At 44.3% G+C, this 13,868-nt stretch overlaps 2 annotated features.

Annotated features, from left to right (window-relative positions):
• Nucleotides 986–1,486: an enhancer, noted in NCBI's record as "H3K27ac hESC enhancer chr9:19186502-19187002 (GRCh37/hg19 assembly coordinates)". NCBI's record gives its function as "activates a minimal SCP1, AML or CMV promoter by ChIP-STARR-seq in naive H9 embryonic stem cells {active_cell/tissue: H9 hESC(naive)}" and the evidence as "EXISTENCE:reporter gene assay evidence [ECO:0000049][PMID:30033119]".
• Nucleotides 3,465–3,514: an enhancer, noted in NCBI's record as "active region_28219". NCBI's record gives its function as "activates an Ori minimal core promoter by ATAC-STARR-seq in GM12878 lymphoblastoid cells {active_cell/tissue: GM12878}" and the evidence as "EXISTENCE:reporter gene assay evidence [ECO:0000049][PMID:35858748]".

Below are 13,868 nucleotides of genomic sequence, written 5' to 3'. Positions count from 1 at the left end.
AAAAAAGAAAAAGTATGAATGACATGATGCAAGTGAAACACAGCAGTAAATCATTCAATAAATGTTCGTTATGACCATGGATACAACTAAACAGTCCTGAATTTGCTATTTACATTAGTTCGGAAAGTCCCTAAATATCTCTGGATCTCAGTTTTAACAATCCATGAAATGAATGAGAAGGTTAGACTAAGTCAGTGGTTCAAGTTGTGCTGTGGAGTCCTAGGGCTTCCCTGAAGGACAGCAGAGAGGGGCTGGGAGGCCAGCAGACAGCCACAGAATAACCTACCTTTCTTCAACCAAAGCTGTTTAGCTTTCCTCTTCTTAAATTTTTGTTTGAGGCCAGGCGCGGTGGCTCACGCCTGTAATCCCAGCACTTTGGGAGGCCGAGGCGGGCGGATCACGAGGTCAGGAGATCGAGACCACGGTGAAACCCCGTCTCTACTAAAAATACAAAAAAAAAAAAAAAAAAAAAAAATTAGCCGGGCGTAGTGGCGGGCGCCTGTAGTTCCAGCTACTCGGGAGGCTGAGGCAGGAGAATGGCGTGAACCCGGGAGGCGGAGCTTGCAGTGAGCCGAGATTGCGCCACTGCACTCCAGCCTGGGTGACAGAGCGAGACACCGTCTCAAAAAAAAAAAAAATTTTTTTTTGTTTGAATAAAATAGTTCTGAGCTGGGCATAGTGGCTCATGCCTGTAATCGCAGCCTTTTGGGAGGCCACAGTGGGAGGATCATTTGAGGCCAGGAGTTTGAGACCAGCTTGAGCCCCATCTCTGAAAAAAAATAAAAATAAAAATAAAAATTGTGCTTAAAAAAGTAACTACTTAGCAAGATAAACTTTAAGCTTCTTTCAGCTCAAGATTCTGTGATTTTGCAAAGATCACACTGTGTCCTTTGTTCTGGTTTCAAAATAAAGACAGGGATTTTATTTATTTATTTATTTTATTTTTGAGACAGAGTCTCACTCCTTGTCACCCAGGCTAGAGTGCAGTGGTGCAATCTGGGCTCATTGCAACTTCTGACTTCTGGGTTCAAGCGATTCTTGTGCCTCAGCCTCCCAAGTAGCTGGGATTACAGGTGTGTGCCACCACACTTGGCTAATATTTATATTTTTAGTAGATACAGGGTTTCACCACATTGGCCAGGTTGGTCTCAAGCGATCTGTCCTCAACTCCTGGCCTCAAATGATCCACCTGCCTTAGTCTCCCAAAGTGCTGGGATTACAGTCATATATCACCATGCTCGGCCAAAATAAAGACAAAGATTTTTACGTTTTTAAGGATAAGATCAACTTATGACTATAGGCACAGAGCCAGGACAGGACTCTAGGTCTCCTGACAGTAAGGAAGAGATATTATAATGTCTTGAGGTTAAAAGGAAGGAGATCTTCAAATGGTTAATGCTCAGTAATGACTATGGACATTCTTCTATTTTGGTTATAGAGAAACAAACCCTGGATTTTTGCTTCTTAGTTTTCTTTTGGATTACTTAAGGGGTGAGTATTCTTTAGGTGACGGTGCTGATTATGATCCAGTCTATGATTAACACATTTATTACCTAATCTTTTTCCGGGTAACTGAAGTTTAATGTTTGCTGAATTATAGTTGATTGAGAAAGAGGACCTTAAGGAGAGATTTCAGCATCACTTCCACTGAGATTTATTTTTAAAAAGGTTATAGGGTGGTTATTGCCATGCTATTGAGATATCCAGGTGAGCTTTGCATATTTCAGATGCAATTCTCTGGTACAGTTCTATTTTCAGTAAACCTACCCCAATTTCAAAGCTCTAATCAAAAAAGAGGTTGTATTGGCCAGATGCAGTGGCTCACACCTGTAATCCCAGCACTTTGGGAGGCTGAGGCGGGTGGATCACATGAGGCCAGGAGTTCAAGACCAGCCTGGCCAACATAGCAAAACCCCGTCTCTACTAAAAAGACAAAAATTAGTTGGTGTGGTGGTTCACATCTGTAATCCCAGCTACTTGGGAGGCTGAGGCACAAGAATCGCTTGAACCAGGGAGGCGGAGGTTGCAGTGAGCCAAGACTGCCCCACTGTACTCCAGCCTGGGTGACATAGCGAGACTCTGTCTCAAAAAATAAAAATAAAAATAAAAATAATTTTTTTTTAAAAAAAGGTTGTATATGTAATCCCAGCACTTTGGGAGGCCGAGGCAGGCGTATCACCTGAGGTCAGGAGTTCAAGACCAGCATGGCCAATATGGTGAAACCCTATCTCTACTAAAAATACAAAAATTAGCCGGGCGTGTTAGTGGACACTTGTAACCCCAGCTACTCGGGAGACTGAGGCAGGAGAATCGCTTGAACCCCAGAGGCAGAGGTTGCAGTGAGCAGAGATCATACCACACTGCACTCCAGCCTGGATTACAAGAGCAAAACTCCATCTCAAAAAAAAAGAAAAAAGAAAGAAATCAAAACTTAAACACACATTATTTTATTTGATCCTTACAAAAATTCTCTGAGGTAGACAGAAGAGGTTTCTTCCCTGATCACAGAAGAGAAAACAAAGGCTCAAGGAAGTTAATTATTATAACTATTCTACAGCTAATAAGTTGGTTATGCAGTCATTAAGTCTTTATTGAACATCTCTAGCATCCAGGCATTGGGTTAAGGAACCGGGACTCAAGTTCAAATGAATCACACCTCAGTGTTGTTTCTCTTATTTGGAGTAGTTCTTTAATGCATCAGTTTTAAAAGACTGAAAGTTTTAAACTTAGGGTGGCTTTCTTACAACTTAAAACTGTTTAATAGAGAATTCTTAATTCACATAGTATAATATAATATACCCAGCAACATTCTGCAACAGGCCAGGCGCGGTGGCTCACGCCTGTAATCACAGCACTTTGGGAGGCCAAGGCAGGTGGATGATCCAAGTTCATGAGTTCGAGACCAGCCTAGCCAACATGGAGAAACCCTGTCTCTACTAAAAATACAAAAAAAAAAAAAATTAGCTGGGCCTGGTGGCATACTCCTGTAGTCCCAGCTACTGGGGAGGCTGAGGCAGGAGAATCACTTGAACCCAGGAGGCGAAGGTTGCAGTGAACTGCACTCCAGCTGGGACGACAGAACAAGACTCTGCCTAAAAAAAAAAAAATTATGCAACAGTTGACTACAATCAAAAGAGAAAAGTAAAGGTTGACTTTTCTAACTATGGTATTTTGCCTGCTAGGCATTCTAGGTTTTTATTTTAAAAATTTCTTAGGAAACTCCAGCTGTTACAAGGAAGTATTGCTTTTGGTTTAATGTTTTATCCTGCTAGTGCACTCCACCCTTAAGTGATCTTGGTGACTAATAGGACTGGCACCAGTTCTCACTTACCAGATGTGAATTCCACTTACTAGTTTGTTTTTTGTCTTCTGCTAATTTGCAGTTGTAGACAAAAACGGAGTAAAGAAGTTCTTAAAATAAATGAAAATCGGCAATGTAGTCGCTCTTTAATTTTTGAATTGGCCTGGCGCAGTGGCCTCACCTAAGAGTCATATGGTTGTTATGTTCCCTGATGTTAGGGGGCCCTCCCCTGCAGCCCACAGTGACTCAGAAGGCAGCTGCCGAGAACAGGAAGGCCTGGGGTTCATGTGACAAGCCACCAGCCTTTACCAGAGCAAACAAAGTAGGTGGGATGTTCCCCTGTCCCCTGCCCACCAGTTTTATAACACATTTCAGGGCTTTTTTTTTCCCTTCCTCAGACTGCTCTGAATTTTCTCTTTGACCTAATTTGATTTGTGGAGAAATGCTGTCGAAAGGGCCTGCTGAGATTTTGTCCTGGCCTGCCTCACTGAAGAAGGCCAACAATCTGTTTGCATAGCAAGAATGAAAAAAATGTTTCTGTGCTTCAGAGATTACTGAATACTTTTTCCAAAATGAATCTGTTCCTTCTAGCAGGGATCGTTTTGCTAGTTGGGAAGATAAAGCTGTCAATATTCAGTAGCTAATCTCTAGATTTCTTTCTGTGATGGAGTCTAGCTCAGTGCAGGCTGAGGGGCAGTGGCACGATCTCAGCTCACTGCAACCTCCCACTCCTGGGTTCAAGCGATTCTCCTGCCTCAGCCTCCCAAGTAGCTGGGATTACAGGCACGCGCCATCACACCTGGCTAATTTTTGTATTTTTGGTAGAGATGGGGTTTCACCATATTGGCCAGGCTGGTCTCAACTCCTGATCTCAAGTGATCCACCCGCCTTGGCCTCCCATAATGCTAGGATTACAGGGGTGAGCCATCACATGTAGCACCAATCTCTAGATTTCAAGAGACCACATATTGTCACAGCTTCTTGGAGATTTTCTTCACTGGATTTAAGTCATTGTTCTCCAAAGTGTGTTCTGAGAGCTACCTACATTTGAATCATCTAGATTAAGGTATCATCATCTCTACTAAAGGACCTTGTAATCTGTGTTTTTTTTTTTTGAGATGAAGTCTCCCTCTATTGCCCAGGCTGGAGTGCAATGGTGCAATCTTGGCTTACTGGCAACCTCCGCCTCCAGGGTTCAAGCAATTATCTGCCTCAGCCTCCCGAATAGCTGGGATTACTGGCACCCGCCACCACACCCAGCTAATTTTTGTATTTTTAGTAGACATGGGGTTTCACCATCTTGGTCAGGCTGGCCTTGAACTCCTGACCTTGTGATCCACCCACCTCGGCCTCCCAAAGTGGTGGGATTACAGGCGTGAGCCACTGCGCCCGGCCCGGAATCTGTTTTTAACAAGCACTACAACTCCCCAGAATTCTTTTTTTTTTTTTTTTTTTGAGATGGAGTCCCTCTCTGTGGCCCAGGCTGGAGTGCAGTGGCGTGATCTCGGCTTACTGCAACCTCCAGCTCCTGGGTTCAAGCAATTTTCCTGCCTCAGCCTCCCGAGTAGCTGGGGTTACAGGCGCCCACCACCACGCTGGCTAATTTTTTGCGTGTATTTTTAGTAGAGACAGGGTTTCACCATCTTGGACAGGCTGGTCTTGAACTAACCTCATGATCCACCTGCCTCGGCCTCCCAAAGTGCTGGGATTACAGGTGTGAGCCACCGCACCGGGCCAAAATTTATTTTTTTGCACAAAATTAACTTAGCTAAATCAGAGTTCACAAGCCTTCACTGGTAATGTGACCCACAGGAGAGAGTCCTGGGGCAGAGGAGGAGTCTTGTTTATGCCTTTCCTGTTTCCATTCCTGTACTCCCTGTCCCTGCCAAAATGCCATTTCTGATAGTGTTGGTCACTGCAGAAGGAAACAGGAAAAAACAGGAAGGAACTGAGGAAACTTCAGTGTTCCCTCTTGATTACAGTAGTGTGGGAAACAGGCCTGGGTTTAGAAAGCAATGCAGCAGAATGCTTAAAAATCATTCACAAAGCTTGGTAAAACCACAGACTCCCCTTCTCCCCATTCTAATTAAGTGGGTATGCGGTGGGGCCTCAGAACCTATATTTGTAAAAATACCTACAGTGATTCTAATGCAGGTTGATCTGGGGGTACATCAGGATATTTCTTATTTAATGTACTGGAGCCCAGAGCTAGAAGTCCCCTTTGACAGCTGTCTTCAAACTGTCGGCACAAAGACCTAAAGTAATTTTACAATATAAAGACATCTGGGTTCTCTAACTGTCACAGGGCAACTCCCCAAACTGGGGATCAGCCCAGGAGGCCATAAGGGTTCTTGACTTTTGGCAGAAAAGAATTAAGGAGGCCATGGTGGCTAATGCCTGTAATCCCAACACTTTGGGAGGCTGAGGCAGGTGGATTGCCTCAGGTCAGGAGTTCGAGAACAGTCTGGCCAACATGGTGAAACCCCATCTCTACTAAAAATACAAAAAAATTAACTGGGTGTGGTGGCATGCACCTGTAATCCCAGCTACTCGGGAGGCTGAGGTAGGGGAATTGCTTGAACCAGGGAGGTGGAGGTTGCAGTGAGCGGAGATCATGCCACTGCACTCTAGCCTGGACAACAGAGCAAGACTCTGTCTCAAAAAAAAAAAAAAAAACAGGAGCAAGTGGACCGAATAAAGTGAAAGCCAGTTTATTAAAAAGTAAAGGAATGAAACAGTGGCTACCCCATAGACAGAGTAGAAGCACGGACTGCTGGACTAACTATAGTTATGGTTATTTCTTGATTACATGCTGAAAAGGGGGTGGATTATTCATGTTTTCTTGGAATGGGGTGGGGAGTTCCCCAGAACTGAGGGTCCTCCCCATCTCCTACTCTATAGGGTAACTTAGGGACGTTGCCATAACATTTGTAAACTTTCATGGTGCCAGTGGGAGTGTCTTTCAGGGCGCTGATAATGCATTAGAATTAGCATATAATGAGCAATGAGAATGACCAGAGGTCACGTTCTGTTTTTTTTTTTTTTTTTTTTTTTTTGAGACAGTCTTGTTCTGTCACCCAGGCTGGAGTGCAGTGGCGAGATCTCAGCTCACTTGCAACCTCTGCCTCTCAGGTTCAAGCGATTCTCCTGCCTCAGCCTTCTGAGTAGCTGGGAATACAGGTGCCCGCCACCAGGCCCAGCTAATTTTCGTATTATTAGTAGAGACGGGGTTTTACCATGTTGGTCAGGCTGGTCTCGAACTCCTGACCTCGTGATCCACCCACCTCGGCCTCCCAAAGTGCTAGGATTACAGGCGTGAACCACTGCGCACGTCCTCCAGAGGTCACTTTCTTTGCCATCTTGATTTTGATTTTGGGAGGGAGCTGGCTAACTGTTTTGTTTTTTTGTTTTGTTTTGTTTTTATGTTGCCAGGCTGTTCTTGAACTCCTAGCCTCAAGCGATCCTCACACCTTGGCTTCTCAAGTGCTGAGATTACAGGCATGAGCCACCACACCCAGCCCTTGGCTGGGTTCTTTACTGCACCCTGTTTTATAAGCAGGGTCTTTGTGACCTACGTCTTGTGAAACAAGTCCTGCCAAATTCCTATCTTATAACTAGCCAGCATTTAGTTTTAGTATATTCTGTGTTTGCCTTAAGATAGTATGTACATTTTCCCCTAGAGCAGCAAAAAAGAAAAGGATAGTGTATATTTTGTATTTCAAAGAAATACTGGGGCTGGGTGCTGTGGCTGACATCTGTAATCCCAGTACTTTGGGAGGCTGAGATGGGTGAATCACCTGAGGTCAGGAGTTTGAGACCAGCCTGGCCAATATGGCCAAACATTTTTTCTAGTCTCTGCTAAAAAAAAAAAAATTAGCCAGGCAAGGTGGCGCCTGCCTATAATCCCAGCTACTCAGGAAGCTGAGGCAGGAGAATTGCTGGAACCCAGGAGGCAGAGGATGCAGTGAGTCGAGATGGCGCCACTACACTCCAGCCTGAGCGACAGAGCGAGACTCCATCTCAAAAAAAAAAAAAAAAATACTGGCTAACATCTCTACAAATAAATGAACCATTTGATAGGAACATTACTTTCATATGATTCCATTAAAAATATAAACTTTGGCTGGGCATTGCGGTTCATGCCTGTAATCAATCCCAGCACTTTGGGAGGCCAAGGCAGGTGGATCACCTGAGGTGAGGAGTTCGAGAGCAGCCTAGCCAACATGGTGAAACCCTGTCTGTACTAAAAATATAAAAAATTAGCCAGGCATGGTGGCACACACCTGTAATCCCAGCTACTCAGGAAGCTGAAGCAGGAGAATTGCTTGAACACAGGAGGCAGAAGTTGCAGTGAGCCGAGACCCCACCACTGTACTTCAGCCTGGGTAAGAAGAGCAAAACTTTGTTTAAAAAAAAAAAAATTAGCTGGGTGTGGTGGCACACACCTGTAATCCTAACTATTTGGGAGGCTGAGGCATGAGAATCACTTGAACCTGGGAGGCAGAGATTGCAGTGAGCTGAGATTGTGCCATTGCATGCTAGCTTGGGCAACAGCAAGACTCTTGTTTAAAAAAAAAAAAAAAAATCATGGTGGCTTGTCAAGTTTTGGAAATTTCTCCTTAATGGTTTTTCCTAACATATTGCTTTTAGTATGTCATTCTGTCACTGCTTTCCTCAAAATCTTCAGTGGGACTTCACTGCCTACTTATTAATTTCCGTCGGCTAGTGTTTGAGGCCTTATGACTTTATCAGTCCACCTTGCCAGCCTCACTTTTTTGTTTTGTTTTGTTTGAGACAGAGTCACACTCTGTCACCCAGGCTGGAGTACTTTGGCACAATCTCGGCTCACTGCAACCTCCACCTCCCAGGTTCAAGCGATTCTCCTGCCTCAGCCTCCCAAGTAGCTGGGACTACAGGTGCCCACCACCATGCCTGGCTAATTTTTTTTTTTTTTTTTGTATTTTTTGTAGTGTCAGGGTTTCACCATGATGGCCAGACTGGTCTCGAACTCCTGACCTCAGGTGATCCGCCATCTCGGCCTCTCAAAGTACTGGGATTAAAGACATGAGCCGCAGTGCCCAGCCAAATTGATTCTTTTATTTTTTATTTTTATTTTTATTTATTTATTTGTTGAGGTGGAGTTTTGCTCTTGTTGCCAAGGCTGGAGTGCAATGGCATGATCTCAGTTCACTACAACCTCTGCCTCCCTGGTTCAAGCGATTCTCCTGCCTCAGCCTCCTGAGTAGCTGGGATTACAGGCGCCCGCCACAGCCGGGCTAATTTTTTGTATTTTTAGTAGAGACAGGGTTTCACCATGTTGGCCAGGCTGGTCTTGAACTCCTGACCTCAGGTGATCCACCCGCCTTGGCCTCCCAAAGTGCTGGGATTACAGGCATGAGCCACCATGCCTGGCCTATTTATTTATTTTTTGAGACAGAGTTTCACTTTTGTTGCCCAGGTTGGAGTGCAATGGTGCAATCTCAGCTCATTGCAACCTCTGCCTCCCATGTTTAAGTGATTCTCCTGCCTCAGCCTCCTGCTTTTAGAAAGCATTTTACAGGAGAACGGGCGCAGTGGCTAATGCCGGTAATCCCAGCACTTTGGGAAGTTGGAGGCAGGCAGATTGCTTGAGCTCAGGGGCTCAGGACTTTCCTGGGCAATATGGTGAGACCCCATCTCTACTAAAGATTGTTTTTAAATAGCTGAGTGTTGTGGCGAGGGCCTCTAGTCCTAACTACTCAGAGGCTGAGGCGAAAGGATGCTTGAGCCTGGGAGGTCGAGGCTGCAGTGAGCCGTGATCGCACCACTGCACTCCCGCCTGGGTGACAGAGTGAGACCCTGTCTCAAAACCAACTAATAAAAACAAAACAAAAGTATTTTAAAGGATTTCTCCTATTTAAGTCCTTATTCATATGCTTGAAAATATGTGGTAAAGATGTTTTAGTTGTAGGAAAAATGTTGGAAGCAATCTAAATGTCTATCAAACGAGATAATGGTTAAATTATGGTACATCCTGTGATATACCATACAGATTAGAAAGAATGAAGTGGATCTCCAGATCCTAAAGAATTTGATTCTTCAAAATTAAGAAAATCTGTCCAATTAAAAATACTTCAGGGGTGGCAGGGCACGGTGGCTCAAACCTGTAATCCCATCACTTTGGGAGGCCAAGGCAGGCGGATCACCTGAGATCAGGAGTTCAAGACCAGCCTGGCCAACATGATGAAACCCCGTCTCTACTAAAAATACAAAAAAAATTAGCTGGGCATGGTGGCGTGTGCCTGGAATCCCGGCTACCCAGGAGGCTGAGGCAGGAGAATCGCTGGAACCCGGGAGGCAGAGGCTGCAGAGAGCCAAGATCACACCACTGCACTCCAGCCTGGCCAATGGAGCAAGACTCTGTCTCAAAAAAAAAAAAAAAAAAAAAAAAAATTCAGGGCCAGGCACCACAGTGGCTCATGCCTGTAATCCCAGCACTTTTAGAGGCTGAGGCGGGCAGATCACTTGAGGCTAGGAGTTTGAGACTAGCCTGGCCAACATGGTGAAACCCCATCTCTACAAAAAAATACAAAAATTAGCTGGGTGCCTGTAAACCCAGCTACTTGGAAGGCTGAGGCAGGAGAATCACTTGAACCTGGGAGGCAGAAGTTGCAGTGAGCCAAGACTGTGCCATTGCACTCCAGCCTGGGTGACAAGAGTGAGACTCCGTCTCAAAAACAAACAAAAAAGCCGTTAATATTATATTTACATTAGTGATATCATGTCTCACACATAAATAATAAATATATATTGGCTATGAACAATATATTTTTAAGATTCTGGGGCCAGGCACAGTGGCTCATGCCTATAATCCCAGCACTTTGGGAGGCCAAGGCGGGTGGATCACCTGAGGTCAGGAGTTCGAGAACAGCCTGACCAACATGATGAAACCCTGTCTACTAAAAATACAAAATTAGCTGGGTTTAGTGGTGCATGCCTGTAATCCCAGCTACTCGGGAGGCTGAGGCAGGAGAATAGCTTGAACCCAAGAGGTGGAGGTTGTAGTGAGCTGAGATCGTGCCGTTGCATTCCAGTCTGGGCAACAAGAGCAAAATTCTGTCTCAAAAAAAAAAAAAAAAGATTCTGGTCATGAAGGCACTATTGAGAGGTGACAAAGATATATGCATATATGGAAGATATGTACATGACATAAATCCCCACTGTAGTTATCAGTAACTCCACTTTTTTTCTTTTTCTTTTCTTTTTTTTGAGATGGGGTCTCACTCTATCACCAGGCTGGAGTGCAGTGGTACAGTGATATAATCTTGGCTCACTGTAACCTCTGCCTCCCAGGCTCAAGCGATCCTCCTACCTCAGCCTCCCAAGTAGCTGGGACTGTAGGCACACCACACCACATCCAGCTAATTTTTGTATTTTTTTGTAGAGACAGGGTTTTGCCATGTTGCCCAGGCTGGTCTCGAACTCATGGCTTCAAGCATTTCGCTCCCCTTTGGCCTCCCAAAGTGCTGAGATTATAGGTGTGAGCACCGTGCCCAGCCACTAACTCCACCCTTCCAATAGTTCAAGCCAAAAATCTTGGCATCATCCCTAAATCCTCTCTTTCTCTCATACCCCACATTAAAGTATCAACAATATCTGTTGATATTATTTTAAAAATATTTCCGGAATCCAAACCCTTCTCACCACTTCCTTCTATACCACTCTGGTCCAAAGCATCATCTTTTTTCTTTCTTTTTTTTTTTTTTGGAGATGGAGTTTCGCTTTTTCGCCCAGGCTGGAGTGAAGTGGTGCGATCTCAGTTCACTGTAACCTCCACCCCCCGGGTTTAAGTGATTCTCTTGCCTCAGCCTCCCAAGTAGCTGGAATTACAGGCATGTGCCACCACGCCTGGCTAATTTTTGTATTTTTAGTAGAGATGGGGTTTCACCATGTTGGCCAGGCTGGTCTTGAACTCCTGACCTAAGGTGATCCACCTGCCTCGGCCCCCCAAAGTGCTAGGATTATAGGCATGAGCCACCGCGCCCGGTCAGTACTTTCTTTTTGTAGCACTTATCACAATTGTTGGCATATAGTTACCAGGTTATAAGCTTCATGGAGAGTTTGGGTCTGGATTTCTGTTGTATCCCTAGCACTGGTATATAGTAGATACTCAACAAATACTTACCAATGAGTTAATAAATATATCTGCAAGAGTGGTTATAGTATTGTTGTAACTTCCCTTCTACCTCAAAGCTGCTTTTGATTCAACTCCTATCAACAGGTAGGAGAAGTGAGTTCACCATGACTTGTTCTCCATTATGTATACAGTTGTGTCCCCACAATCCTTGTGATGCTAAACATACAAAAGGGGATATATACATGTTTACGGGTTGGTTGATTAAATGATGTGGTTTGATACTCATCTCCTACCTCAACTTTGCCTATTGTCAGATAAGAGGCAAAGAGAAATATTAGGGAAGCAACTCTCAGGTTACAGAGGTCAAAATCTTACTTGGGTCTTTTGAAATGTAGTCTGGCATTCATAGGAATTTGTCTGTTTTTGTCCACTATTGGCCTGAAAAATCAAATACCCTAGGCCAAGACCCTAATTGCCAGTAACTACTATATTATTGAGCATTATAGTATTAAATTCCATGCATGGCCAATATTATACATTATTAGGTTTTAAAGTAATCAGAAAGTATTTGCCCTTTTTTTTTTGCTTTGCAAATGGATGGGTAAATATATTCACTGTTCCTCTCTTCATTGTAGCAAAATCACGACTATATTACAGCATTAATAACTCTCTAGCTGTGTGGCTTTGGGCAAATCATTTCTCTCTGGACATAAATTTCCTTATTGACACAATGAGGAGATTGGATGTAAGGTCTCTTCCAATTCTAACATCTTTTTTTTCTATTTCATTTGATGAAAATTACCACACAAGGCCGGGCACAGTGGCTCACGCCTGTAATCCCAGCACTTTGGGAGGCCGAGGTGGGTGGATCACGAGGTCAGGAGATCAAGACCAGCCTGGCCAAGATGCTGAAACCCCATCTCTACTAAAAATACAAAAATTAGCCGGACGCGGTGGCAGGCGCCTGTAATCCCAGCTACTTGGGAGGTTGAGGTAGCAGAATCGCTTGAACCCGGGGGAGAGAGGTTGCAGTGAGCTGAGATTGCACCACTGCACTCCAGTCTGGGTGACAGAGCAAGACTCGGTAGACTCTGTCTCAAAAAAAAAAAAAGAAAAAAAGAAAAAGAAAAAAGAAAAGAAAATTACCACACAAATTAACTTACCTCTGGCCGGGTGCAGTGACTCACGCATGTAATCCCAGAACTTTGGGAGGCCAGGGCAGGTGGATCACCTGAGGTCAGGAGTTCGAGACCAGCCTGACCAACATGGTGAAACCCCGTCTTTATTAAAAATGCAAAAATTAGCCGGGCATGGTGGTGCATGCCTGTAATCCCAGCTACTCGGGAGGCTGAGGCAGGAGAATCGCCTGAACCCGGGAGGTGAGGTTGCAGTGAGCCGAGATCATTGCCATTGCATGCCAGGCTGGGCAACAAGAGAGAAATAGTCTCAAAAAAAAAAAATTAGCTTACCTCTAATTTATTCAGTTTTCTTCTATGTTCACAGGGAAAAATAAGACTCAAGTTTTCCTTAAATCTGGAGAAACTTTTTTTTAGGTTGTGTATGTGTTCCTACAAGAGAATTTTCTTTGAAAATAAAATACTGGACCAGCCTGGGCAGCCAAAAAACGGAAAAATTAGCCAGGCGTGGTGGCACATGCCTATAGTCCCAGCTACTCAGGAGGCTGAGGTGGGGGGATCATATGAACCCGGGACATCAAGGCTGCAGTGAGCTGTGACTGTGCCACTGCACTCCAGTCTGTGCAACAGAGTGAGACCTTGTCAAAAAAAGAAAGGAAGAAAAAAAGAAAGAAAGAAAGAAAGAAAGAAAAGGAAGGGAGGGAGAGACAGAGAGAAAAGAAAAAGAAGAAAGGAAGGAGAGGAAGAAAGGAAGGAAGGGAGGGAGGAAAAAATAGAGGAAGGAAGGAAGAGAGAAAGGGATAGAAAGAAAGGAAGGAAGGAAGGAGAGAGAATGAAACAAGGAAGGAAGGACGGAAGGAAGGAGAGAGAAAGGAAAGAAGGAAGGAAGAGAGAGAAAGAAAGAAAAAGAGAAAGGAAGGAAGGAAGGGAAAGAAAGAAGGAAAGGAAAAGAAGAAACTGAAAACATAGACTTTTTCCTATTTGGCCATTAGATGTCGCTCAACATCCAAAAAGTAGAAGAAACCAGATGTACACTATAAAGCTCCTGCCCAGTTCCCCCGGGACTGACCCAGTCATACTGGGTGGCTTGCTTAATCGTGTACTGGTATTTGTGTGTCAGTGTCTTGCCACGTATAGCAAAAAATCCCCTTAGCCATCCAGAAAACTTGTTGCCTATATGTCTTATATATGTGTTTATTTATTTATTTATTTAAGGAGACAGGGTCTTGCTCTGTAGCCCAGGTTAGAATGAAGTGGTGCAATTATAGCTCACTGCAACCTTGAACTCCTAGACTCAAGCAATCCTCTCACCTCA

This window comes from Homo sapiens, chromosome 9 (genome assembly GCF_000001405.40).
Source record: "Homo sapiens chromosome 9, GRCh38.p14 Primary Assembly".
Taxonomy (NCBI): Eukaryota; Metazoa; Chordata; class Mammalia; order Primates; family Hominidae; genus Homo; species Homo sapiens.
This window is presented reverse-complemented; position numbering and strand designations above follow the sequence as displayed.